The sequence below is a fragment of the Homo sapiens genome, chromosome 3 (assembly GCF_000001405.40).
Source record: "Homo sapiens chromosome 3, GRCh38.p14 Primary Assembly".
Lineage (NCBI taxonomy): Eukaryota > Metazoa > Chordata > Mammalia > Primates > Hominidae > Homo > Homo sapiens.
In genome coordinates, this window is record NC_000003.12 from 10,383,974 (window position 1) to 10,410,531 (window position 26,558).

The following is a 26,558-nucleotide window of genomic DNA, read 5'->3' on the forward strand; positions in this document are numbered from 1 at the left end:
CATGGGTTCTCCTTGTCACCCTCAGCCACCCCTCCCTGAGGCATGACACCTCCCACTCCCCAAGCTGTCATCCTTCCTCCTCCTGTGCCTGAAATAGAGCCATACCAGAATTAGTCCTTCTTGGCAAGGCACTGCTCGCAGAAGTGCCTTACTCAGCCCCGACACCTACTAGGTGCTTCCATCTTTGGGCACTTTGAATGCAGGTGGCTTGGGGAGAGGTCTAGGGCAGGGGATGGGAGGCTGCGGGGAACAAGTCTCCATATTTTGCAGGAGTGGTGAGAAGTGAATGATATGATATAATGGATGAGAAACCCACAGCCCAGTGCCTGGTATGCAGAGACGGTGGGAAAAAGATTTTCCCCTGCCCTCAGCTCCTCTGGGGCAATGTTTTCATGATGGAGCCCTAATGGCTCTCAACAGTTCAGGAGTAGCCTGGGGGACTATTATGTCACTTTATTTGGGGATAGGGGTGGTATCTGAGTAAACAAAAGCCTTGTCTGTTGCTCTGAAGCCAGAAGGGGATAGAAATCCGAAATCTTCTAAAGGCTTTGGGGGCAAGTGAATGGAACTCCTTCTTGCTTGCGTGTAAGGAGATTAAGATGCAGACACCAGTACACAGTGCCAGCCCCTCTCCCCCACCCTCCACCCCTGTGACCCAGGACAAACGCTCCAGCACAGGCAACAGCAAGAAACACCAGTCCACATCCGAAGGACAGAACCAGGCCCGAGCCCAAGCGAACCCCCTGCCCGTTGGCTCCGTGAAAGAGAAGAGGAAAAACTGTTTACTGCTGGCTCAGCCATGCTACAGGACAGGGCCAAGGAGCTGAATCCCGGCCTGGGTCCCCTTGCCTCGAGGAAATTTTAGAGTCGAGGACTAGAGCCTTTGCTGGGGACCCAGATGCCAGCTTCAGCCCAAGCCCTGATCCCAGGCCTTCTTCCCAAAGCCAGGGCCAGGAATACACTTAGGAGAGGGCCATGCCAGGTGGGACGCTCCTTCTTGGGAGCCAATCTGAAGCCAAAGTCTCGTCTCTTATCTGGGCTCCATGGGGAGTCAAGGGCTCGACAGGAGCCAGCACCTTTTTGGCAGCTGTGAGGCTGACAGGTTGCAGAGCTGACTCCCCCGGCTGTGGCTCCTGTCTTAAGCGCCTGCCCCATGTGAGAAGGTGACTGTCCCAGCGGCCCATGCACATCCGAGATCTGTGCAGTCCAGAACAAGGAAAGAAAGCCCAAAGTTGGGGTGGGGGTGAGAGACGCCCATCCAACCATGACCAGGAGCTCGCCGTGGGAGACATACCATTGACTAGGCTGGCATTCGCACTATCTGCAGCATTTGAAGCTGCCGCACCGTCTGCTGCTGCAGGGGGGTGGGAGGGATGGAAAATGCAGTGTCACAATGGAGAAAAGCAACAACGACAAAGACATGAACCAACTTGTGGGGAGATAACATGACTCTATTCTTAAAAAAAAAAATTATCCTTTGGAAACCAAGAAACTCAAATTTGGGGTGGGGGTGAAATGTTCCATAGAGATGCCGCAGAGGTTGAGGGGAGAAACTCAGACATGGAGGGTCTTTCAAATAAAGCATGGTGGATGACCAGGGTGGTTAGCTGGGATGGTGCTGGTCTGTGCTGAGGTCTGGACCCTGCTGGTCCAACCAGTCAAGAGAGTCCCCTGGAAGAGAGGGCTCCATGAAATGAGGAGATCTGGCTGCCCATTGGGGGCCAGGAGTGGAAAAATATTCACTAGGCAGTGCAGCGTGGGCACGGACCACTCAGAATGAGTATTCTCCATGACCACCATCTCTGTGCATCAGGGTGTTCTGGAAGAACATTTGCTAATGGTGATGACTTTGACTTAACTGGATTCATGCCCTTGATTCAGGCCATTGCCTCCTTCCTTAACTGGCATTCCAGAGACTGCTTTGGGAACTCCCATGTGAGATGCCCCCCAAATTTAAAAGGTGACATCAAGCATGTTGCATTTTGTATATGGGATGGAAAAGGCACTAGTGAATTTTTCTTAATTTAGAAATTAAAAGTGATATGAGATGGCTAAATTCACACCTTTTGCTCTTTCTTGTGGGTAGGGAATAGTGTTCTATGGGCAGGAAGAGGCCCCACTGGGTGAAGCACACTGTTGCGTGAGGGCATGGGCTCCCCAGGGGTGCTGGTGGGGAGAGCAGGGCCTGAGGGGAGGGTCCTATGATGGTGAGCAAGCTTTGCATGCTGGTACGCAGGGCTAAGGGTGGTGTAGAGATGGGGGTGGTACCACTTGGCATTGGCTGGTAGGGTGAGGCACTGTAAGGGCAAGAGGGTGGAGTGGGGTGTTGGCTTGTCCCACAGGGCTGGCATCACAGGAGGGCACAAAGGAGGGTCTGGGGGGTGGAGCCACCCACAGGCATGTGGCCTCCTCCAGCTGTGTGCTGGTGGTCTAGGGGCAGGGCCCAATGACCAAAGCCTGCTGCTATTTCTAAAAGCCCATCTACCCTGAGGGTGTCTTACTGTACCTGGTAGCTGAAGGCCATCCCCCTTCTTCACACCTGTGTGATGATTTTTGAGACATGTTAATGAAGGAGAAGCACACAGCCTCATCTGCCCATGCGCACGCGCACACACACAAACACACATGTGCATACACACATGGCCATACACCTAGGGTCATCCTGAAATGGGGACATGTGGCGGGCTCTAAGCAATGTTCCTAGTGGAGGTGATGGGATGGGAGGGCAGAGGGGGCCCAGCTGAGGCCATGCTGCTCATGGTGGCCTGAGATGCTGGACTGCTCCCCCAGGCTTCCTCTGCCACATCCCTTCCACATTCCCCATCTTCCTTCTACATGAGGCTATTTTTCTGACATCTCCATCTCACAGGAGTGCAGGTGCATGCTCAGCGAAGGACCCTGAACTGTGCTTCTGGGGCAGTTGACACTTGTCTTCCTACTGGCATTTAAAAACCACAGATCTGGCCCTGCTAGCATTTTAAAAACCACAGATCTGGCCCATAGAAGAGTCTGGGGGCGTCTTCCCCTCACTCAAGCCTCAGTGAGGTGAAGACAATGAGTACAGGCTGCTGCATCCTGCCTACCTGCTTAGATCTGCCTAACTGCTATCATTGTGGAATAGGGCTCAGCCATCCTACCACAGATTCAAACCCAGCATGTGCACACTCTCCTTATGTCCTCTGGGACTCTTAGTCACGACTCTTTCCTCAGTTTCAGCCTCAGCACCCCTTTACTCTCTCCAGCCTTCTAATTTCCCAGAACACAGCTCAGCCCCATTGTCCTGCTGGAGGGGCCACCATAATCTTAGGGGACCCCCTAGAAAATGGATTTTGCCTTCAGGAACAAGTAATCTTCAGTCTCGACCTAAGCTCTGTGCCTGATTAGCCTCTGAGAGCTGGAGGGAGCAGGGCTGCCCCTAAAACTCAGTGGGGGAGGCATCTGTCCTCTCATCTCCCTTCTGGGGTTCTAGAAGTTCTGAATGTCACAGATCCTCCCTTTGTGCTTGAGGAAGGAGACAAAAGACTGAAAATGTGAAAGGGGGGCTATCTTTGAGATCAAGTGTGGGGACAGGTAAGGAGTCAGCTGTGCTGGGACCAGAAGCCTGGGCCTTTGGATTTGGGCCTGGCCTGAAGAGACTTGAGCTTTTTGTTTGAGCATCTTTCCCTCTGTTCTGAGAGACAGTTTTAGCCTGGGTGGTCAGCTCGCTGCATTGAGGAGAGCCCAGTGAATAAGGAATCTTATTTTCAAGGAGGAGGAAGAATCAGAACTCAGACAAGATGGTAGGTCTGGGAGCACTGGAGAGTAAACTCATAATGGTTGATTTGGAGCCATGCATCTGGCTACCTTTCCCAGAATCTCCTCTGCCCATGTCTTGGATGAATCTATGCTGGGTGGATTTTCATTTCTGCTCAGTGGAGTTGACAATATTGGAAGGAATATGCTTCCAATGGGTGGGGATTTCTACTCAATACTGGAGTGATGATGGGACCAATTGATGCTGGCTGTTTCCACCACTTGAGGCTGGAGACTCAACAACATGGTCAGCATCCTTGGCCTGGCCCGGAGGGGAAGGAGGGGCCTCCATGACATGATTGGACAAGACAGAGACTGGGACAAGACCTGGAGATGGAACAGACAGAGCCTACCTGGCCCATGCAGGCCTTAAGGATGCAGGAGGTGGCTGTCAGCACAGGGTGCGGACGTAGAAGGCACTCAATAACTATTTTGTTGAGTGAACAAATAAACAAAAAAAAAATGTGGCCTTAAGAGCTCCTCTCCTGGTCTGCAAGGGGATTAGGCTTACCTTTTTTGTCTTTCTTCTCTTCCTCTTCACCACCAGCCCCCAGGAGGGTAAAGATGATGCCAGTCTGAGAGTTCACACCCACAGCAGTCACCAACATCCGTCCTGAGCCCTCCATCACGTGGGTTCCTGGGAAAGGGGACAAAAGCCAAGTTACCATTGCATGGTTGAAGCCGTCTCCCCAAAGGAGTGAAAAAATGTGGTCTCAGTCAGCTCCTGGCTCTTTGCCTGCAGAGGTCATGGGGCATCACCTATGGTTAAGATTCACACTGTGTGTGTGGTGGGCTCTTTCAAGATGCTTTCACCTCAGGACAGTGCTGGGGTGGAAACACTGCTACCTATCAGTTCTCAGGTACCCCAAACATCTCCAGGCCCACCACCTACTACCTGCCCTGGAGGGTCACTTCCTCCTTCTGTCTCCTTCTCCCCACTCCTCTACCACCCTTACAGATGTAGACATCAAACTCCAGGAGTGTTATCAGTGTCCATGATGCCACTACACACATTACAAAAATCACAGATTTTTTCATATCACTTTACAGCTATTGCAGCATTGTTGGTGCTCATCTCTATTTTATAAATAAAGTGGTTATGCAACTGCTTGCTAGATCTTGTTATTCAGTGTTCTAATAAAGTACACTCATTACTATACCACATATTTTTTTTCTACTTTATGCCAATATAATTGGTTTCCTTTGTGACCTCAGTGGGATCTTGTGGGACCTCATGCATTTCATTTTATGCATTTCAAGGCTTTATTTGGAATAGGTGTGGCACATGATGATACCAGACTACTCCAGGGGTCTATGCTGCAAGAAAGGTTAAGAACCACTTTCCTAGAACTTTAGATTTCTCAAACTGGGTTCCAAAGGACCCTGACATTCTTTCCAGGGGCTGGAAGTGTAGCTATGGTGGGTGAAGGAGGCCTTTGGTCAGGATGGCTCTACTTTTATTTGTTTTATCTTTGGGGCTTCAGTGTCAGCTATTGTTTCATGAGAGAGCCTTGTTGCTGCTTGCAGGCAGCCTCTCCACCATGCAGGCTCAGAGAGCAACTTGTCCAACAGCAAGCAAGGGCTTCAGAGGGAGGATAAGCTGAAGAGAGGGGAGAAATATGGTCTATACACTCAATGGAATATTATTCAGCCTTAAAGAGAAAGAAACTTGAACACAGGCTACAACATGGATGAACCTTGAGGATACTGCAGTAAGTAAGTGAGCCAGCCAGCCACAAAAGGACCATAAATACTATATGATTCCACCTGCATGAGGTCCCCTGAGTCATCAGCTTCAGAGATAGAAAGTAGAATGGTGGGTGCCAGGGGCTGGGGAAGGGAAATGAAAGTTAGTGTTTAATGGGTGCAGAGCTTCAGTTTGGGAATATGAAAAGAGTTCTGTGGATGGATGGTGGTGATGGTTGCACAAAAACGTGAAGGTGCTTAATGCCATTGAACTGTACACTTACAAGTGGTTAAAATGGTAAATTCTATGTTATGTGTATTTTACTATTAATATAATTTTAAAAATTGGAAAAAAAAGCCCCCTGAAGCCATGGCCTCACTGGGGAAGCAAAGGTGACCCCAGGAGGACAGCTGGGACCCAGTCTGGGAAGTAGACAGCAGCTATGCCCACCCAGTTCTAGCAGCGAGGGAATGCGGCACTGCTGGTCCTTTGTCCTTTGATTGGTGCTGGAAGAATCTGGATGCTGGAAGGTTGGCTCTCCAGGCACACATTTTTTTTTCCTGTTTTTATTTTTTTGCTACTCTGGGTAGAAAGCTGTATATGATGCAGGACACACTACCTTCTCAGATGGGGGAGTAAGAATTCCACCCTGGCCTGGCTGGACAGTGTCACAGAGGCCTTGACAGCCATGACAGTGACTCTCCGACATGCCATGCCTTGCTTCTGGAACTCACTTCTGCTTTTCAGAGTTCTCTTTTCTGTCCCCTCGAGACTAGGTGCCACTTCTTCCTGTTTTCAGCATAACTTATCTCTCACTGTGTTTTGGTTTGCCTCAGATTTGAAGTCTATGTCAGGAAACTCATTAGAATTGTATCTAAAATAAGGGTTGAGGGGTTCTGGGTCAGACCTAAAGAGCTTGCCTTAAGCAAGGTATCTGTTTTCACTTTTTAAGTGGTATCACCCACCTTGTCCCTTTCCTTGTAGGATCTGAGTGATATCCCGATGTTGTGTGTGTGTGTGCCTGTGTGTGTGTGCGTGCATGCTTTTGTGTGTGTGTGTGTGTGTGTGTGTGCGCTTGCAACAATCTAGCCTCTTGGTCTCTGGGGTCTCAGGATCTCAAAGTGCTTTACAGAGAGACAGACACTCTCCAGTGATTCCTTTCAGGCACGTAAATGCCAGCCTCTCCCTGCACAGATGCAGAAACCAAGTCATGAAGGCTCACAGAGGGGGTGTGCGGAACCCAGATTCTCAGATGGCAAGCTCTTTGGCCATTCCCAGGACAGAAGGACAGTGCTTTTTTTCCCCCTTGGCAGGGCACAGTGGGGACCACAGAATGAGCTCAGACATTGGCTCTAGGCTGAGCAGCCCAGGCCTGGTGGCTTCTCATCACAGGCAGACCCTGGAGCACCCCACCCTGCTCTGTCACCCTGCTGAGGGCCAGTAACAGGGCCTTGTTCATTATAATAACTTGCTGACAAGATGCCTCCGTGGGCACCAGCTCGGCTTGTTAGGGTGCTAGGAGGAGGGGCTGTTACATATCAGCATTAGACAGATAAGAAACTGGGGTCTCATGGCGGGTATCACTGGAGACTCTTCAAAGGAGAGGAAGGAACACTACGCTGCATTCATAGGGCACAGAAAGCAGTAACAGCCACCCAAGCTGACCTCTGTAGAACACCTACTGTGTGCAGGGCACATGCTGCCCTCCACGCTCAATGATCTCATCTAGTCCTCAAACTGGAGGAAACTGAGGCTCAGAGTGGAGGGGTGGACTGCCGAGTCACTCTGCAGGTGAGGGGCAGAGCCTGGACTTGAACTCTCTGCTGTCCCTGAGCCTGTTGTCTTTGTTACCTTCCACTTAGCCTCCAGGGGCAAGGCCCTCACATTCTGGTCTGAGACACATTCTGCTCTGAGTAGAAAGGTTCGCTGGAAATGAAGGCATTGGTTCTCTGGCTTAGGTGGCAACCAAGAGGCTGCTCCCCACCTCCCAACCCAAGACAGGATGGAAAAAGATGCAGGGGGCCAATTTCCACCCACGATAATCAGACTCCCAAATCACCTTCTAATCTAATCACTCCCATCGCAGCAGGGAGCTGGCAGCTCTACACCCACATCCGGAGGCAGGGAGGTGGCAGGAGGACGTCAGGGAGGGGCTTAGGCATAGTGCGCTCCCCGCCCAGACCTGGAGATGCCCCAGGGTGTCCTCCAGAGCTGAGCAATAGCCAGGGCAGGGGAGACGGGGCATCTACAATCCCCAGTCCTCCCTCCCTCTGTCCTCCGGTATCCCCAAGCCTCTGCTCTTACCTGTCTCCCTCCAGTTCCAATCCCTTCTTCGAGGGTTTGGAGGGCTCCCTGAGGTCCAAACCACTCAGTCAGTGTCCCCTGGATGAGACCTCTGCCTTCTTGGCCCTGGACACTGAGTCCTGTCTCGTGGCCTCTGCCTTTGGAGTGTGCACAGTTCACTGGGCCTTGGTGTCTACCTCCCTGGCCTTTGCTCACAGTGATCACCTGAATGCCTTTCCCTCACCTCTTGCTCACAACCTCCTCCACAGGATGAATGCCCTTCTCCTTGGGTAGCCCTCCTGACTCCCACTAGGGGACTTCATCTGTCTCCTCTGAATCACCTGAAGTCTCCTCTGGGGGTGCTTCCAGGCCTGGCTCCTCAACCTGACCATGAGCCCCTTGAAGGCAGTGTCTGAGTGGGAGTGTCCTCTGGGCCTCCCCCGCACAGCCTGGTTTGGAGCTGCAACTCCAGCACAATTTTTTGTACTATTTTGAACTTTCCAGGGTGGGTATGTATTACATTTATAATTGGGAATACCAATGTCCCTAATAAATCATCTTTATGTTTTGCAGAGGGTCACATTCATCCCAGCTGTGCCCCCTCCTGCCACACCTCACTGGGCTGTGCCCTGTCCTCTCCCAGGCCCTCCTGCCAGGGGAAGACTCCAAAGGACTGGGGCATTCCCTAGACCGTTCCCCTTCAGCTCCACGAGTCCCCTGCAGAGGGCAATGCTTAACACCATGGCAGAAGCAATTAATGGCAGAGCAACAGACATCCAAGTCAAAGCGCAGTGGGCTAAACCTCTCAAAGGACGACCACAGGGGCAGAGGTGGGAACCTCTTGGGGATGGAGGCCCTGATAGGGCCTTGTGGGACCTCACTGTCCACAGTCCCTTGGGCAGCACTCTGTAGCCCCCACCTCCTCTAACTGCCCACAGAGCCCTTCAGAATACAAGCACGGGGAGGGGTAGAGAGAGAGCCCTGGACCCAGAAGAGGGCACCTGGGACATGGTGTCTAATTCTGATTGCTATGTGACCTTGGGGCCAGCCCCTCTCCTCTCTGGACCTCAGTTTTGTCATCTGTAGAGTGGGGAGGGAGCTGGCTTAGGCCCCATATCTCAGCAATAGTGTCTTGACACTGTCTAAGGGAGACCAGCCTAGGGCATGTCCTGGGTAGGGTGGACAGCTACATCTCGGGAAGAAGAGGGTGTGGAGAGGCCGGCAGAGGCCCGTGTGGACAGAATGACCAGATGGCGCCCCCCTTCCCCAGCTCCACAGTCCTTCACTTGACGGACAGACATGGTGGGGTGTCAACTCCATGCCAGGCTCTCGGGTCTGAGAGAGGTCCCCCTGTGGTCCCTGCCCTCCAGGAGCTCACAGTCTAGCTGGGGTCAAGGAGAGCAGATAGGCACACAGATCCAGAGCAATGCAAGACAAAACCAAGCCAAGGACATGGCGGGCCGGAAGGGACACAGCCAGGCAAAGGTGGGAGGTGGTCCAGTGTGATGGTAGCGGGCGGGCCGGGCCAAAGCTCAGCGCCCACGAAGGGAGAAGGTGCCTGAGTGGAGGGTGACAGAGTGGAGTCTTTGCTTGGTGTTCAATAGGAAGCCGCTGAGAGTATTTTTGGGTGGAGGGGGAGGAAGGAAGAGAATATCTTTTGAGCATTCATGATGTGCCAAGTTCCATCTGAGCCACTTTTCGCTCAGCTGTCACAGTCTGTGAGGTGGTCAGCCTCACCCCATTTCACAGATAGGGCATCAGCTCAGGGGGTCACCTCTGCATTCAGCCCAGGAAGGCAGAGCTGGGATGGGAGCTGGTCTGTGGCTCCAATCTTGTGCTTTTTCCACCTTGTGGACAAAGTTGGTGGGAGAGCTGTCTGGGGCAGCCCCAAGGAGAGAAAGGGGGGCCAGAGCGTGGTGGGGAGCTGCCAGCTATCCCATGAGTGGGAGGAAATGGGAGCCCAGGCTCAGGGAACACTGTGGTTTCCGTGGATGGTACTGTCTGTCCTGTCCTGCCCAAGCTTCTGTCCTGTCCTGGTCCTGTGGAGGGGATGTTCCTTGGTCTCTGACCTGGCAGCAGAGAGTGGCCAGGACCTTCCCAGCTGCAGGCTCAAAGCCCATCCTGGCCTTGGGCCTGTCCTGAACAGCAGGAGGTGGCTTTCCCTTGCCCTGAGCTGGTCTAGATGGTGGCAGTCTCGGAGTCAAAGCCTTCTGCTGTGGCTTGTGGGGTATGCTGAGCCATAGGTAGCAGAACTGGGAAGCCTCCTTTTACAAAATGGGGTTTCTGAGCCCAGATAAGGCGAATGACTGAAGTTGCAGAGGGTGTAGGACAGTAGGGGCTGGACCTAGGGTTCCTTGATCTCTTGCGTGTGACCTTTTAGGCCTCTCCCTGGATAGGGAGAGGGGAGAGTTCATCTCTTCTAAAAGGGTTCCTTCAGTGGGGAGAGGCTGTGAAGAAGGGATGGAGGCTATTTCTGGGGGCTATTATCTGCCTCCAGGCACAAGCACTAAACAAAGCCAAAACGATTCCCAGCCCAGACACAGTCCTTCCATTATTATTGTTATTAATGCAGTTAATAACACACGCTCACAGAGCACGAGGCAGTAGGCAAAGTGTCCCCCTCACAACAGCCCCCTGAGGTAGGTTTTGGCGCAAGTTCAATCCCCAGCCCCTCCACCCACCACTTTCTGGCTCAGAGAGCTTGAGTGATGGCCCAGGGTCACACAGCTGTGAGTGGTGGAGCCGGGACTTGAACCCGTGCTCTATCCACTACACCCCGCTGCCTCTCATGGAGAAGAGGCAGGGTAGTGTAATGGAGAGAGTGCGGGCCGAGTAGCAGACTGGGCCTTCTGCAGTCACGGTGTCGTCCTAGGCTCCCTGGAGACGGTGGCAGTGGTGGCAGGTCCGGCTCTCCCATGCCTGGCCTTCTGCTTGGTGGGGTGGGCAGCAGGTCCTGGGATGTGGGCAGAGTCCCAAGAGGGTTTACCGATGTCCTGCATGACCTCATGCTGTTAGTGCTCTGGCTGGCAGGGGGAAGGGAGGAGGGTGTGTCGGGGTCTCGCGGGGGTTGAGCCATCGGGCCTGCTGGAGCCAGGCCTTGCTGTTTTTTGAAGACAGCCCCGCCATCCTGGCCCCCTGGCTCCAGCCCCTTCCACTGCCACATTGATGGCATCTAGTCTAGTCCTGCATTTCCCAGTGGAAGTTACTACAAGGAGGCAGGCTCCTGCATGGGGGCTACAGGAAGAGCCCAGAGCTGGGGTCTGGCTTCCGCCCTGCCCCTGCCCTCTGTGGGGCCTTACACTTCTGCTCTGGGTCTCAGTTTCCCCAGCTGCAAATTGGGATAGGACCAGGGTCCTCTAGGGATCATTGAATCCCCTGAAATGTTGCAAGATGAGGAGTCTGGGCATCTGTTCCTTATAAGAGGGGTCACTGCTTTAGTGGAACTCTCACGGAAGTTCATGACCTAGGAGGGTTTAAAAAACACTGGCTTTCCATGAAGACAATGAAAAGATGAGGCGCTGCTCCATGCAGGAGACCAAAGAGGCAGGACATCCAAGTGGCATGCAGGACCCCACATGGATCCTGGCCTGGAGAACGCTGCAGGCACAATTGGCAGAATGTGAATATGGATGGCACAGCAGGTAACAGTACCGAATCAATGTCAAGTTTCCTGAATTGATGGCTGTGTTGTGGTTATGCATGAGAATACCCTTGCTCTTGGGAGACACACCTGCAGTGTCTAGCGGGAGAAGGCCATCACATCTGCATGATGAGGAGGAGAGTGAGATTTGTCAGAGAGCAAAGACGGCAAAAGGTTAGCAACAGCCGAATCAGAGTGAAGGGCATGCCCGTATTCTTTGTGCCATCCTTGCAACTTTTCTGAAAGTTTGAAATTATCTTAAAATACAAAGCTAAAAAATAGGCCTAGGTCAGAGTTTGCACTCTAGGTCCCACCCATATGTGGCTTGACCCATAGGGACCTTAAAATGTGGGAATTTCTTGCCAATACTTAAACATTGAGAGCTGGTACAGGGAAATCTGGATTTCTGGCTCCTCTTGCAAAGTGAGCACTGAGGTCAGATTGGGCTGGCGCTTCTGCAGGCAGCAACAGGAAGCAGCTGTGGTTTGGGTTTGGCACCTGTGCTCTCCCTACCTGGCCCTGCAGACATATGAGTTTGCAATTTCTGAATATTTTTACTCTGTCCCGTTTGAAGATACACCAGACATGGGCTCGTGTCTGCCTGTCCGTCCCTGGAGGGTAGGAAGGTAGGGGAAACCTGCCTGGTTTTGATGATTTCCTTGGTGCCCTGAGTGTTGAGGTCATTTGAGTCTTTCTGAAGGCTGGTCTGCCCTCACTTGTCAGATGGGGAAACTGAGGTTCTGAGGGGCAGAGGCCACAGTGGGAGCTGTTGGAGGGCTGGAACCTGGGCATTCTGCCTCCAGATGCCACATTCCTTCCACACCATACAGCACCTCACAACCGCAGGGTTTGTTTGCAAAGGACAGTCACACGTGTGCATGCCTGTGGTCCCCACAACAGCCCTGTGGGGCAGGCAGTGGAGGCCTCACCAGCTTCCCCATTGCACTGACACAGACACAGAGGCTCAGAGAGGTGAAGGGACCTGTCCAGGGTCACAGGCCAAGCATGGTTGGACCAACTGACCAGAGCGGAGTGTTTCCTGCCCTCTTCTAAGCTGAAACAGTGCATGAGATGACACTAGGGCTTTCTCAACCACCATAACGACACCACAAATGCCCCCAGCCTGGTCTCTCTGTGTTGTTCCTCAAGGATCATCAGACTGGAAGGCCCAGCAAGGCCTCCCCGCTGATGTAAAGGGCCCATGGTGTCTGGTTGTGCATAAAAATGAGCATCCAAATGGCTGTTATGCAGGGAGTTCAGAACACTGGGGAAGAAACTAATCAAGGAACACCCCCTGGGGGAGGCAGGCTGCTGCAGGCTGAAGGTAGGGAGGAGTTGGATGATGAAGAGGAAGGGGGTAGCCCAGAGAGGTGGGAAAGGGGAGACATTTGAGATGAAGGATGAGAGGGCGAAATGGACATTTCTGGAGGTTCCAGATTTCAACACAACCTCATGAGCTGGGGCTATAATCAGAAAGGGGGGGAAGCTTGTTGGGGGTCCCTGGCTAAGGAGTAGAGTTGGGATTGGAACCCAGTCTGTTTCACCCCCAAGTCCAGGCCTCACCCAAGGAATGGGGAAGGGAACCAACTTATGTTGAGCCTCCCTGTGCAGCACTGTGCTAGGGGATCCACTTACATCATATCATGAATGACACTCCTATTGTCCTCCCAGGGAAATGGGCTCAGAGAAGTGAAGCCATGTGCCTGAGGCCACACAGCAAGTTCGCTTGAGAGCTCAGGTCCTGTTCAGCTCAGCCTGACACTCTGCTCAGCTTCTCCCCACTGCCTCTGGAGGACAGAGCCTAAGGTCTGCAGGGCCCAGGGGTGAGCTGGGCACAACCTCCTGAGAGCTTCCAGTTCAGAGCTCCCGGCTGCTCAGACCTGCGTGGGCAAGAGGATTGTTGCAGAAATGACACTACATAGTAGTGTCGTCTATCTGCATGTGGCCAAGGACAGCAGGGCCTATAAAAGTGAGACCAGTGAGATCCGGTTGGGTGGTGGGATGGTCGACAAATTTTGTTCTTCATTTTATTTGAGATGGTTTGTGCAGTGCAAAACTCAAACACCATGACGAGGCTGTGTCTGTTTGGGTCAAGCACAAAGTGGAGTGTCACAGGCTAAAAGTGGGTCCCAGGTGGTCAGGGGGTGACTGCCACAGGGCAGTGGTGGTCAGGGAAGCCTTCATGGAGGAGGTGGGGCTTGAGCAGATGGAAAAAAGTTAAGTGGGCAAAGAGGAAGAAATGAGACTGGGAAGAGAGGACAGCCTCAGCAGAGGCAGATTGAAGGGAGCAAGACAAGGTGGATCAGTAGATGGTGGGGGCAGAGTGGCAGACAGGGCATGGTGAATGTACTCTCAGGGCTGGGAGGGGCGCTGAATGCGGTGCCCATTCAGTAGGTCACCCTCCAACATCCCCACCTGCAGCCTGTCTACATCCTGCTCATAGACAGTCGGTGACGGGGAACTCACTCTCTTACAGGCAGCCTCTTTTGTCTGATAATGGTCCCAACTGTTACAGAATTCTCTTTCCAATTATACTGCTTTCTATGGAGCCAGCTATGCCCCTTTATCACTTTCTCCCTATGAGTTTGAGCTGAGCCACACTCCTTTGCCCTGCTGACTCCCACGCAATTGCATTTCTGATGCCAGGGCTTCAGGCTTGCCAAGGAGCTTCACTTTCTTCCATCTGGTTCATCCTGTGTCCTGTGATCATCTTTCTGGATCCTGACACTTGCTTTCTTTTTGCCACTCCCTTGTGCTTGTGGGCTCTGAGAGACTGATGGGAACACTTTGCACATTGCAACAGGATAGAGCTCCAGGGAAGGCCACTAGAAACCATCCACCAGATTACCAGCGACCCAAGAACCAGCACGAACCCACTGAGATCTCCAGGTTCCCGCATGCCCCTCTCCTTCCTGCCCACAAGGACATCCTGGAGACCTTGGCTGATGTCTCCTGACATCTAGACGCCCCAGGCGTCTTCCATCAACCCAGGCTTCCAGCCAGATGGAGACCAAGGCCGCTGGTTCAGCTTGGGCTCAGAGGGCCTGTAGTGGCTTTTTGCAGTCACCCCTTTCTCATCTCAGTGCTCACAGGCCACCATTCCAAGATGACTGGGAATCCTGCCAAAACCAATGCTGACCCCAGCAGCCCAGGCTTCACGGGACTCACTGGGATCCCTGCTGAGACATGGAATGCCTTCTGTCTGTCCCCAGTCCCCTTGTCCTTCCCCACTAAGGGGTGAGCTCCCTTCTGAGTCTCCAAGGGCCTGCAGGCCTCAGCTCTCCTGGAGGATCTCTTGGTCTCCTGGGACTTCTGGCCTCCCTGGAGACACACCGGCCTCTCCAAGTTTTGAGGCTTCTTGACAGAGAGTTGGCACACACAGCCAGAGAGCTCCCCAAGCTCCCCAAAGCACCTCCTCACTCTCCCCTTATGCTTCTTGTCCTGAAATCTCCTGCTCCCATCCTCTGCCTTCAGCATCGTCTTATTTTTGGCACCTCTGTTCCCTCTGGGCCCTCCTGCCCCTGCTCCGAGACCCGGCCACCCTATGACTCACTCCAGGCTGGCTGGTTGGCTTCCCATCCATCTCTGCCCGTCGTATCTTTTCCAGGGTCTCTCTGCACCTGTGCCCTCCTCCTTGGCTGGTTTGTGATGCTGTCAGGCCAGTGATTCTGAACATTCTCTCTCCAGCTTCCTGCCAGCATCCTCCCCTTTTCCCTCTTCCCCAAACTGTCTGAAGTTTCCATCTTCTTAGGCCCATGCCTGCCCCGGGCTTCCACATATCCAGAGGACATACCTGGCCACTGCCCCCAAGGATGCTCTGTCTGTCAACCACTTCATCCCGGAGGGCAGGACCAGGGCCACAGGGCTGTAACAATTTATTGAAATCTCATGTGGCCCTATGTTCTAAGAGGTCATTTGGGGCATTCCACGGTCTCTCAGTGAGACCCCGGGGGCTTTGCACTTGCTATCTCTCTGCCTGGAATACTTTTTTCTTCTCACTGTTCTGATTTTAGGTCAAATGCAACCTTTTCAGACAGGGCTTCCCTGATGAACTCAGATTCCTGTGCCTTTCCTGCAGGTCTCTATACCTCACTACAATGGTGGAACATCTTCATCTGACTTACCATTATCTGAAGTTACCTTGCATATTTGCTTGCTTATTACTTTATTGGTTCTCTCCTTTACTAAATTCTAAGCTCCAGGACAGCAGGGACCTTGTTTGTTTCCTTAACCAGTGGCACACAGTATGTGCTTAACAATTGTTGGTTGAATAAATGCTGGATAAATAAATGCCCCCACCTCTATTCTCACTCCTACCATCCTGTCCTGCAGACCTGTTTGTATTTCCAGGACATTGCACACTCCTTCAGACCTCTGTGCCTTTGTACATGGTTCCCTCTGCTAGGAGGGCCCGTTCTCTACAATTGGACTTGGAAAGCTCCTATTCATCCTTCAAAACCCAGCTCAACGCCACCTCCTCCAGGGAGCTCTGCTCCTTCCTTGGCTTTCTCACAACACCTTCCTCACACGTCTACTGTGGGATTAGCTGTTGGTAGGCCTGAATCCCCAAGGACATTCAGGCTAGGGGCTCCCATGGGCAGGGGCTGGGCCTGAATCACTGGTGGGTTGGGGGTGGAGATAGTCCCAGCACTTGGCCTGAGCACCCAGAGTAGCTTTGCAGAGGGTGTTTGCTGAGCACTGCTGGACAATAAGGCCTTTTGGGCGTCCCTGTGAAAAGGGGCCTCACCTGGCTAGTGTCTCACCCCTGCAGGGTTTCCCCACCTCTTCTCTGCCCCTGTAGCTGAGTGAGCTTGTAAAAATGTAAACATGATCAGCTCACTGCTTAAAACCGTTTCAGAGAATCCTCATCACACTGGGAGTAATTTCCAAATGCTGACCATGGCCCATGAGGCCTGACCTGTGGCCTCTCCACTCTCTCTATTTCACTGCAGCCTCCAGCCAGTCCTGCTTCTGGGCTTTTGCCCCTGCTGTTTCCTCTGCCTGGTGTGTTCTTCCTCAGATAGTCACAAGGCCAGCTCCTCCTCATCACCCACACTCAGCACACCTTTGCCCTGTTTGTTTTCTTCACACACTTCTCTGCTCAGGAATTTTCACATCGCCTCCCTGCTCCTCACTCCGCCACAAGCTCCTCAGGGCTGGGCCTTCCCTGCCTCACTCACTGCTGCAGCCTTAGTGCCGGGCCCAGTACCTGGCACACAGCTGGTGGCCAGAATGCTTATCACCTGACTGATTCTTTCTCATCTCTGATGAGAGTGGGCTTCGGTGTTCAGCTTTTTAGTAAACCAAGTCACTAGAAGGCCAATGCCATGAGGGCAGGGATGCTTTGTCTATTTTATTCGCCGCAGTCTCCCCAGGGCTGGGGTTGCTGAGTGCACAGTAGGCTCAATGTGTGTTTGTGAGAGAAAAGGAAGGGAGTTCTCACTTGGGGCTGAGCTGGCTGGAGATACCAGAGCCAAGGATCAAAGTCTCTGAGTCCCTTCAGCCTCATGAAGGGGACACACAGGCATCCCCTGTGCATGGCGACGGGAATGGGCCCAACATCAGGCTGAAGCTCACCTGACAGCAGCATGGGGTCCTTGTCCACGGACTTGCGCACCTGGTCAGACTCTCCAGTTAGGGAGCTTTCATCAATCTTGAGGTCATTGCCCTGGATGAAGAGGCCGTCGGCAGGGAGGAGGTCACCTGGCAAGAGGAAGGGCAGGGGAGTCAGCAGGCTCTCAGGTGACTAGAGGGCTGGAACATTCCCTTAAAGGTGCGATTACCAGGGAAGGTTTGCCATCAGGGACAGAATGCCTAGAGCTCCCAGGGTGTAGGAACCAAGATGGTGCCCATAGAAGGCCCATGTACAGCTCAACACTGGAGCTAAGGTACACAGCACAAGGCCTGGAGGGCTGAGGTTGGGGCCCTGCAACCCTCGCTCAAGTGGGCATGTACTTTACAAAGTGTTTCTCTTGACCTCGCCTGAACTTGGAGTGCAGGTCTCCCAACAATTCGTTCTTCTGTAGTCTCAGTTATGGTTTAGGGGAAATATTTTGGAAGGAACCAGTCTCTCTTGGCTAGGTTTAGAAGACCGCAACCAAGTCACATCGTCAAGGGGATGTGTGCCTTTTAGGGCAGAGTGAGGAGGGGCACTCCAATCTCTCCCCTACCTTCTGCCTCACCTTACCTAGGACATATCTGGCTCAAACTCCCTTTGGTGCCAGCCTGCCCGTTTTCTCCATGGCAGTAGCACAGGCCCAGAATATTCACTTATCCACCTACACACTTTCTAACATCTCCTCTAGCCCAACAAGCATCCATTAACAGTCAAATCAGGGATGGGAAATAGGTTTCATCTAATAAACCCATTCTGAGTATTAGTGATTGTTGGAGTGCTGTGCTGAGAAGGCTTCTGCGGCTGTATCCAGGCTCTGAGCTGTGACTGATTAGTAATGTCTGCTATGGGTGGAAGTTTGGAGAGTGGTAGCACATGTGCCATGTACTTGTCATTTCTGATTTAAATGGATTCTGGGATTGTACCCCCTCCAGGAAGTACCCTTCCACCTCCTAAAGGATCTCAGAAGACATCTTGGTTTGGGATCAGCCTTCAGGAATGCATCCCCTTCCTTGAGCCAATCTCTTTGCATCAGCCTGGCCTGTCCCACCTCTGCCGGAATCCAGCTTTAGAACCTGGCTCTGTGGCTGGGACACTTACCATATTTGACCTGGGCTATGTCCCCAACCACGATCTCAGCCACAGGGATCTGGACCACCTGGCCAGCCCGGACCACGGTAAATTTCTGTTCCTGCTCGATGCGGCTCTGCAGGCCCCGGAACTGTTTCTCTTTGCTCCAGTCATTGAAGGCCGTGACCAGGACCACACAGATAACTGAGAGGAGAATGGCGGCCCCCTCGATCCAACCTGCCTCTGCCTCTCCTTCATCCTCTGCCCCACCCTGGGCCGTCGCACATCCTGAAAGACCAGATAGAAGCAGGCAGAGTGAGGTCAACCAGACAGGAGAGGCCTCATGGGCCTGGATTTACAGCTCAGCTCTGCAAAGTAACAAGTGTTAAGAATCAGATGATAATTATCCACTTACTCAGTGTGTCTGGGTACCAAGCCCTGTGGAAAGTGCTTCACGCAGATCATCTCACAGGGTATTCCCGCTGCCCATTTCACAGATGTGGAAGCTGAGGTTTCTCAGAGAGGTCAGGTGACTTGCCCAAGCAATGAAGGGCAAGTAGGAAGCTGGAATGTGAACCCAGGCAGTCTGGCTTCAGAGCCCACCATCTTAGCCCCTTCAGTTTTCTGCCTTGGTTCTAGCTGTGAGATCTTGGGCAAATGACTCCCTTTCTGAAACTCATTTTTTCTCATCTGGGTAAGAATATTCTCTATCTCGGGGACCTATTGTCAGAGTTGAAATTTAATGTGGTAAAGTTCACAGACTCTACAGCACAGACAAGGCACAGAGGAGAGAAAAGAGAATTTTCTCTAATTGATGAGAAAAGACAAGGAATTTTCTCTAATTCATGAGAAAAGAGAGTAAGTGAGGTATTTTTCTTTTTTTCCAGAACAAAGGCAGCCAATATTACACTTGCTTTAGGGTCTGAAAAGGCAGTTTGCCGCTGTCCTCTTCTTCTGTTGGAGTCTCATTACATTGCCCAGGCAGGTTGGGAAGATGAGCTGGTTCTAATCCTGCTGCTGCCTCTGCATGATTTTGGGTAAGTCATTGCCCTTCCCCGGCTTCAGTGGCCTCATCTGCAAAATAGGGATCACTGAGACCACCTTCCAGGACTCAGGGAGAGGAAGGTGGAAGCTCCTGGCCAGAGCTCAGCACACAGGAGGTTCTCTAACTCCGTCCTTGTCAGACGTCAGCTGAGGAGTGAGCCGCCCTCCACAGTGAGGACACTGAGGCTTGAGCTGCAGGCCGCTTGTCTGACTTACAGTGACCCTGCATCCCAACCGTTGCACCACTGAGCCTCCCAGTCTAGGCCCCAAAAACTCTCGAGGTCTGCCAGGCCCACGGGGTGAACAGAAAAGGAAGAACCTAGGCACATCTGATCTGAAGGCATCAGACCCAAAGGCAGATCCTACTCATGCAGTGCTGGGCCTAAGGCCCTTCCACGCCCCTCTCTCATCCCCACAAGGGTCCTGAGAGCAAGAGGTGGAGGCCCAGGAGGTGAGGTGCCACAGCCAGGACGCACCCAGGCCTTCATTTCCTCTGGGACCTGGGGAGCGGCCATTTCCATGGAAAGGAATCTCCAGCAGCATCGGATCATCCTTCCTGCAAAACTCAGAGCAGTTCCCCTCCACGGGGGCCAGGTGGGGCACTGGATACCCTGCAAGGCCTGCTGTGCACCCAGCATCCACTTTAACCCTCAAGCTGGCTGAGAGAAGGGTACCTGTTCAGAGAGAAGCAGAGACTCACCTGGGGTCACATGGCAGATAATGGGGTTTGGATCCAGATCTGGGATCTGACACCAGACCTGGCCTGTTCACTCTCCCTGAGCCTAGCAGCCCCCTCTGCCATGTGTTTGCCAAAGATTCATGGCTGAGCATCTGGAAATCCAGTCTGTCTCAAGGAACAGAGAACAGAAGCTTCAAGAGACCCCAGTGGAAGCTTCTGGAAAGCCAGGGGTCAGAAGCAACATGACAAGAAGTCCAAGTGACACTCAAGGAATGTTTATGGGCATTGGGCTCCTGGAAGGGTGGGGCCCAAGCCTGGGGAGATATGGAATCACTGTGGCCCAGCTGCATGCACCCCTGGAAAATTCCAGGTCTGGAATCACTGTGGCCCAGCTGCATGCACCCCTGGAAAATTCCAGGTCTTGCACTGAACCAGCCGTTCCCTTCGGGCCAGTAAACAATGCCATCATGTGGGGTTCCCAAAGCCACCTTTCTCCCCATCTTGGGAGTTTCAGACTTCCAGTAATTTTAAACTGTTTAGCAGGACCAGCCTTGGAGTAATGGTAATCATAGCTGTCCTAATGGTAACCAAGTTTGAATCCCAGCTGCGCTAACTGCTGTGTGCCCATGAACTTGCTATGTAACCACTGTGCCTGCCTTGTTTTGGTTTTTCTCATCTGCAAAATGGCAGGTGCTCTCTCATAAGGTGGTTGAGAGGATTAAGAGAGAGCCTTCGGGTAAAACACCCACTGCAGTGAGCACACAGTAAATGCTCAGTTAAAGCTGGTGATTCTTACTTTCCAGTGTGTGGGTGAGCATTATTGCATTCAAGTTCCACAGCCTGGCTTTATGAAGCCCTGAGGCCCACATTACAGAAGGAGCTCCTGCTGGATTTGAGTGACATATGATGACGGGAGGAGAGGAAATGGTGAACGGTGCCTCCTGTACCACCATGAATGACACCAATAGAGACTCCAAAGACTGGGAGACACAGGTGAACCTTGCTAAACAGAAACCCAGTATATGGAAACGCATTTTCTTGGGGCTTAGAGGCATGGAGGGGGAAGGAGTGGGATTACAGAGCCCCATGCTGCATTTTACAAGACTTTTGTTATCCCCTGCCCCTTGCTATGTGCTCTGGAAATGGGAAGGCTGTTATTTCCCCTGCTGTGTGCTTCCTCAATGGGGCCCCCATTAGAGCAGTTACTGGAGCATTTGGACACTTAGAGCAATGACAAGCTTTCGGGTTCTGGAATCGGAAAGACCTAGTTCAAGTCCAACCTCTGCTGTGTGACTTTAGGTAAGTGACTTGGCCTCTCTGAGCCTCAGATTAGACAGCTGTGAAGTGGGATAACCCAACGGATTTGTGAGCTAAGGGCCTGGCACATGATAGATACATGGTAAAAGTTAGACCTCTCCCCTTTTCATGAGCTTTTTTCCTTGGACTGGCCTCTGAAAGCCAAGGGCACAGTGACTGAGTGGGATATGCACCCTATTCCAACTCCCAGCCCTACCTGCTGCCCTTGCTGACTCAATACCAAGGAACCCTCTGGGCCTTGGAGGGCACTCACTCTGCCAGCAAAAGCCGATTAGCTATTGTCTCCAGAGAACTGTCTGCTCGTCACGCGGTGCCAAGGGATGACTAGAAAGTGGGAGTGCAGATCGCTGGGGTAGGGATTCGGCCACCTGGAAGCTGTCCGACCCTAGGAACAACTCCTGCTGCCCCTGGAGCAATTAGGGAGAAGAGAATAGGAAGGGGAGGGAAGAGGGGAGTGGGTGGGTCCTGCTGAGGTCTCCTCTGGGGCTCCCTTGGACTGGGGCAGGGACAGGATCTGGAGACAGTGGCCATAGGGTCCAGGGAACTGCAACTGCTCTTCCTGGACCTGCGGCTATAGAGGGTGTGGCCTCTCCCTGTCTGTGTAAGCTTGGGGAATCCGCTTGGCCTCTTCGGGCCTGTCTGCATGTTCACCAGTACAATGGTGAACCTGCCTCCCAGATGGCTACCAGGGCCTGGTATCCAACAAAGATCCTCAAAACTGGTTGAGCCATAAACATTTTCTAAACACCTACTATGTGCCTATCACTCTTTTGGCACTCTGGCACTGGGGGAGCTGTCACCAGCAGGGGGTTAGGGGCACTGAGTGTGCCAATCCTAGCCCTGCCATGAACATGCTGTGTGACCTAGGACAAGTGCCTAGAGGTCTCTGAGCCAGGTAATCCTTCATGTACAAAATGATGTTGGTAGAGGACTAACAGGCTGCAGAGTTCTGCAGCACCCATAGCCCTGCCCCAACTGCTTTCTCAGTGATGAGTATGAGATAAGACCTTCCCAAGGTTACACACCAGGAAGTGATATAGCCAGGACTCAAACGAGGGCTCCTGGCTTTAAGTTTGGGGATGCTTTTATACCCCCTCACTCCTGTTCATCAGGGGGCATCCAGCCCAGGCTGGCCCAGCTTGGCCCAGTGGTTTTAGGGAAAAGAATGAGATGAAGTGTGGGGCAGAGCCCCAGGAGTTAGGCATTAGGTAAAACTAGACACTGTGTACAGATAGCAACAGTGTCACGGCTGGACAAGGTCCCTGTGGTCACTCAGCAAACATAGTCATGAGCCATGCAAGGCCGTTTCTGTCAGTGACAGACTGCATTTACCGCAGTGGTCTCATAATATTATAATACTGCATTTCTACTGTACCTTCTCTATGTTTAGATACACAAATACCATTGTGTTACAGCTACCTACAGGATTCAGTCTGGTCACATGCTGTGTAGGTGTGTAGCCTAGGAGCAACGGGCTGCACCATACAGCTCAGGTATGTAGCGGGCTGTGCCATCTAGGTATGTGTAAGCACACTCTACAATGTTGGTATGATGATGAAATTGCCTTAGAACATGACATGTCCCTGTCGTTAAGCGACACATGACTGTATCTACTAACCATCTACAATGGGCCAGGCACAGTGAGAAACTCATACACTCATTGCGTGTGTGACTCTAATTCCACCCATCAACATTGCCACTGACCAGCCCTGTCTTACAGAGGGAGAAGGTAAGGCCTGGGCAGGGGCAGTCACTTGCTGGGAGTTGCTGAGCCTGGATTTGAACCCACATCCCACTGGGTCCCGAGCCCCTGCTTTGTCATCTGCTAAGAGCAGGCCTCCCTCTCGGGAAGACGTGTCTTCTGGTGGGGGTGGTCAGCCCTGTAGTGCTGCCACCATGTTGTATTTCTTGCCTGCCCCCAGACCTGACCCTGGAAGGAGTCCAGTTGCGGGTCTTTCATCCCTGGCTCTTGAGTTTCTCCCCAGTGCGGGAAGCCTGAGGCCTGACTTGGGGTCCTAGGCCACAACTCTGGGTGAGTCCCCACCCTCCCCTCTTGGAGCTCCAGTTCCCTCACCTGCCAGATGGGGTGGGGGTGGGGATGCTGTGTACCTGGCTAGCATCAGAGCTCAGGGCTGAGGATGTCCATTCCAAGGCACTTAAGAAAATGGCAAGTGATAAATAAAACTGAATGAGTTCAAACACAATGTGAGCACCAGGGATCTGGTGAAGCCGGTGGTGGAAGTCGTCCATCTTTCCTATGGGTGCCAGGTTATAAATAAGTCCCTCCCTGCCTTCCTTCTTCCTTTCCTTTTCCTCCTTCCCTCTGGCCTGCGCTCCCTCCTTCCTTCCTTCTGCTGACAGGGCCGGCGTTGCTCCTTCTGTAGAACTTCCTGAGTCTGTTCTGTGCACAGGGCTGCCCGCCCTCTCAGAAGCAAGGCTCTCTGCCTGGCTCAGGCCTTAACTCCTGGATCTTTAGACCTGGGGCGGAGGCGGGCAGTGGACCTCTGAGGACTCAACATGGCAGGGGCTGGAGGCAAGAGTGACAGGTGCTGGGGCTTTGGAACCTGTGGCTCTAATATGCTCACACTGTCCACCCCTGCGTTGCTGTAGAGGATACTAGAATTGTGGGGTGTTGAACGTGGCCACTTTTCCAGAAACCAGGAGCGATCGGCCACGTGGGGAGTGACACCTGCTTCCTGAGGTTTGCTCAGGGCTCCATGATAAGCGCTTTGCATTATTTCCTTCAATCATCACAAGATCTCCACAGGGCAAGTGCTATCATTCACCCCCTTTTATGGATGAAGACACTGAAGCTGAGCACATGGAGGGCCGGCCTGGGTCCAGGGCCAGACAGGCAGATCCAGGCCCTGTGCCTAGGCTCTGATCACTGGACTCTGGTGCCTTCCAAGATGTGGCAGCTGTTGTCAAAAAGAAATTGGGTGCATTTCATGATTTCAAACAAAACTCACTAGCACCATAGCAATGGCACAATTTCAACACTGGCTGCTCAGGGAGGGCCCTGTTGGGGATCTTTGACCGAAAGTTCCTGGTCTGTGAAATGGGTGTGAGGGTTCACTGAGAACCCGGACATAAAGTGCCACGTGTGCTGGGTGCTCAGTCACAGCTGGGCCCCAGTCTCTGGAAGGCTGTGTGCAGGGAGAAGGGAGCCAAGAAGGCCACATAACTGTCCCTGTCAACTTCCCTGGTGAAACTGATGTCTGTCTCAGGGTTTTTTGTTTGTTTGTTTGTTTGTTTTTGCACTTGGTGGCTGGGGATTGATGGAGCCCCAGCCTGACTTGGGGCACAGGAGCCCTGGAAACATGGAAGGCCCAGAGCTCAGATCTCAGGCCAGGGCGTGGGCTTCCGGAGAAGGAGTTAGGATGGTCACAAAGCCCAAGAACTTTTGATCCCAGTGAAGCTGGACTGTGTGAAGCTGCCTTGGACCAGGGGCGGCCTGAGCTAGTGCCCCAGCCAGAGGCAGGGAAGAGCCTTGGAAAGGGCCAGACAGACTCGGGTTGAAAATCCTGCCCTACAGTCTAACGTAGCTTTGTGACCGCAGGCAAGTCCTTCCCCTCTCTGGGCCTTGGTTTCTGAATCTCTAAGATGGAACATCGCAGCCATCTGTCTAGAGGGTGAGAAGCTCCTCCTGGCACACATGAGGCGCTCGGTCCATGTTACCCCTCCACCCCCTCCACCACCTGCTATCTGAGTTCTAATCTTGTACTGAATTGGGTTGCATGAGGCCATGTATCCGAGCTGATTCAGTCCTGTCCCTCTCTGAGGAAACGCAGCTGAGGGACAGGACCGAGGAGCCAGAATGCTTTGGTCTGAGTCATGGTTTTGCTACTTTCTAGCTGTGTGCCCTTAGCAAGCGATTTGCTGTCTCAGGGCCTTGGTTTCGTGGATAATAATAGCACCTATCTATAGGGTTGTTGTGAGGACTGATAATTAAATGGACTTCTATCATAATAGCTCCCAACTAGTGGTAGCTATAAAAATAGTAAGAAGTATTATCATTATGCATTTGTGTTACACTCTTAGCTTTGTTCAAGGCTTATTCAAGTCGTCATGTACTACCTTCTTTCATATTTGGTATAAAACTTCTTCAAAGAAGGCTGCCTATTGTGCATTTCTTATAATGTCCTATGTGAAAGTTGATCCCAGAATTCTCGTAAAGAGAAATGTCATCTTCCTAAATATTTTTCCTCCTTGTTGATAATTTGAGCTATGCAAATCTACCTTTTAGTTTTTAATTTTATTTTTCATTTTAAAATTTTTGTTTTATTATTATTATTTTTTAAATTCAGTACTCTTTAGTATATTCCAGCAAATCACCCTAATTCCCTTTCTGTCTTGGCTGCCAGGAACCTCAAGTCAGATTTAAATCTCAATCATGGCAGCAATTACAGCTGGTTTCTTTGCTTCCATTCCTTTTCTGGCTGGCTTTCTGTTTGACCGCATCCTGTGAGATGTATCTCTTGTGTCTTTAAACCCTCTATGGGAAGAGGTCATGTAAGAAATCAACTTATTATGTGTAAAATTGAGGTAGTTGGCCTAATAGACTTGGTTATTCAGTTTCTTGGGCAACTTTGGCTTGGGAGGGGGCAGGACAACAGATATTCAAGGGACCTCAGAGACCACCTTCTTATTTAGGGAAAATGAGGCCCATAATGTTATTTCTTATGTGCTATTAACTTTTAATTTGCTTGTCTGAAGGTGTAGTAGGGTTATCTATTTATGCAGCACATTCATTAGGAAATGTTGAATCACAATGAATCACAAAAAAGTATTTACAATATCCTACTGACTGAAAAAGCAGATTATAAAACAGATCAGCCTGCACAGATGTCAGGGTCGCCCTCACCTGTGTGCTTATTAAAATCCAGCCATCCCTGGACTCTGGAGAGAAAGAACCAGGCTCTCTTAGGATGGGGCCTGACAACGATGTTTTCAAAAGGCTCCACAGCAAAATCTGAGGACTCTTTATTAGCTGGTGACCTCGAGCAGATTAACCCCCTTTTCTGTGCCTTGGTTTCCTCATCTTTTTTTTATATTTTTTATTTCCATAGGTTTTTGGGGAACAGGTGGTACTTAGTTACATGAGTAAGTTCTTTAGTGGTGATTTGTGGGAATTTGGTACACCCATCACCCAAGCAGTATATACTGAACCCAGGGTTTCCTCATCTTTAAAATGGGCATTACCATGGCAGCTACCTCAGGGGGTTGTCAGGGCGACATCTCAGCCCAGGGCTTAGCACACTGTAAGTGCTCAAAAATGCTCACTAAAGTGATTACTGTCACCAGTCCAACCCTTGTGCATTTCACACAGGGAAAACGGGGCTGAGGCCTGGCTCGGCCACCCTTTGGCTGTGTTGGCTATGGGTGGGGCCCTGCCCCTTGGACCTCGGTTTCTTCCCCTGGGAGGAGAGGA

General features: G+C 52.0%; 1 protein-coding gene and 1 non-coding gene across 18 annotated transcripts in view, besides 2 other annotated features; both read right to left on the minus strand.

The window, feature by feature from the left end:
- ATP2B2 (ATPase plasma membrane Ca2+ transporting 2) overlaps positions 1–26,558 on the minus strand; it is a 384,094-nt gene that overhangs the window by 59,951 nt on the left and 297,585 nt on the right. For 9 of the 17 annotated variants that reach the window (XM_006713175.5, XM_017006481.3, XM_005265179.6 and 6 more), the window contains 5 exons: positions 18,118–18,375; positions 16,980–17,105; positions 4,304–4,429; positions 2,507–2,539; positions 1,295–1,354 (listed from right to left, as the gene is read on the minus strand). In XM_006713175.5, the coding sequence (XP_006713238.1) occupies positions 1,295–1,354; positions 2,507–2,539; positions 4,304–4,429; positions 16,980–17,105; positions 18,118–18,375 (603 nt within the window). The remainder of the gene's footprint in view (positions 1–1,294; positions 1,355–2,506; positions 2,540–4,303; positions 4,430–16,979; positions 17,106–18,117; positions 18,376–26,558) is intronic. The other 8 variants (NM_001438036.1, XM_017006484.3, NM_001353564.1 and 5 more) reach the window with 1 other exon arrangement.
- Positions 6,118–6,318: a silencer, noted in NCBI's record as "peak4536 fragment used in MPRA reporter construct". NCBI's record gives its function as "represses an SCP1 promoter by STARR-seq MPRAs in K562 erythroleukemia cells {active_cell/tissue: K562}" and the evidence as "EXISTENCE:reporter gene assay evidence [ECO:0000049][PMID:32103011]".
- MIR885 (microRNA 885) lies at positions 10,516–10,589 on the minus strand. Its single transcript, NR_030614.1, has one exon. It is a non-coding gene; the product is annotated as a microRNA 885 (primary transcript).
- Positions 11,124–11,720: an enhancer, noted in NCBI's record as "OCT4-NANOG-H3K27ac-H3K4me1 hESC enhancer chr3:10436781-10437377 (GRCh37/hg19 assembly coordinates)". NCBI's record gives its function as "activates a minimal SCP1, AML or CMV promoter by ChIP-STARR-seq in primed H9 embryonic stem cells {active_cell/tissue: H9 hESC(primed)}" and the evidence as "EXISTENCE:reporter gene assay evidence [ECO:0000049][PMID:30033119]".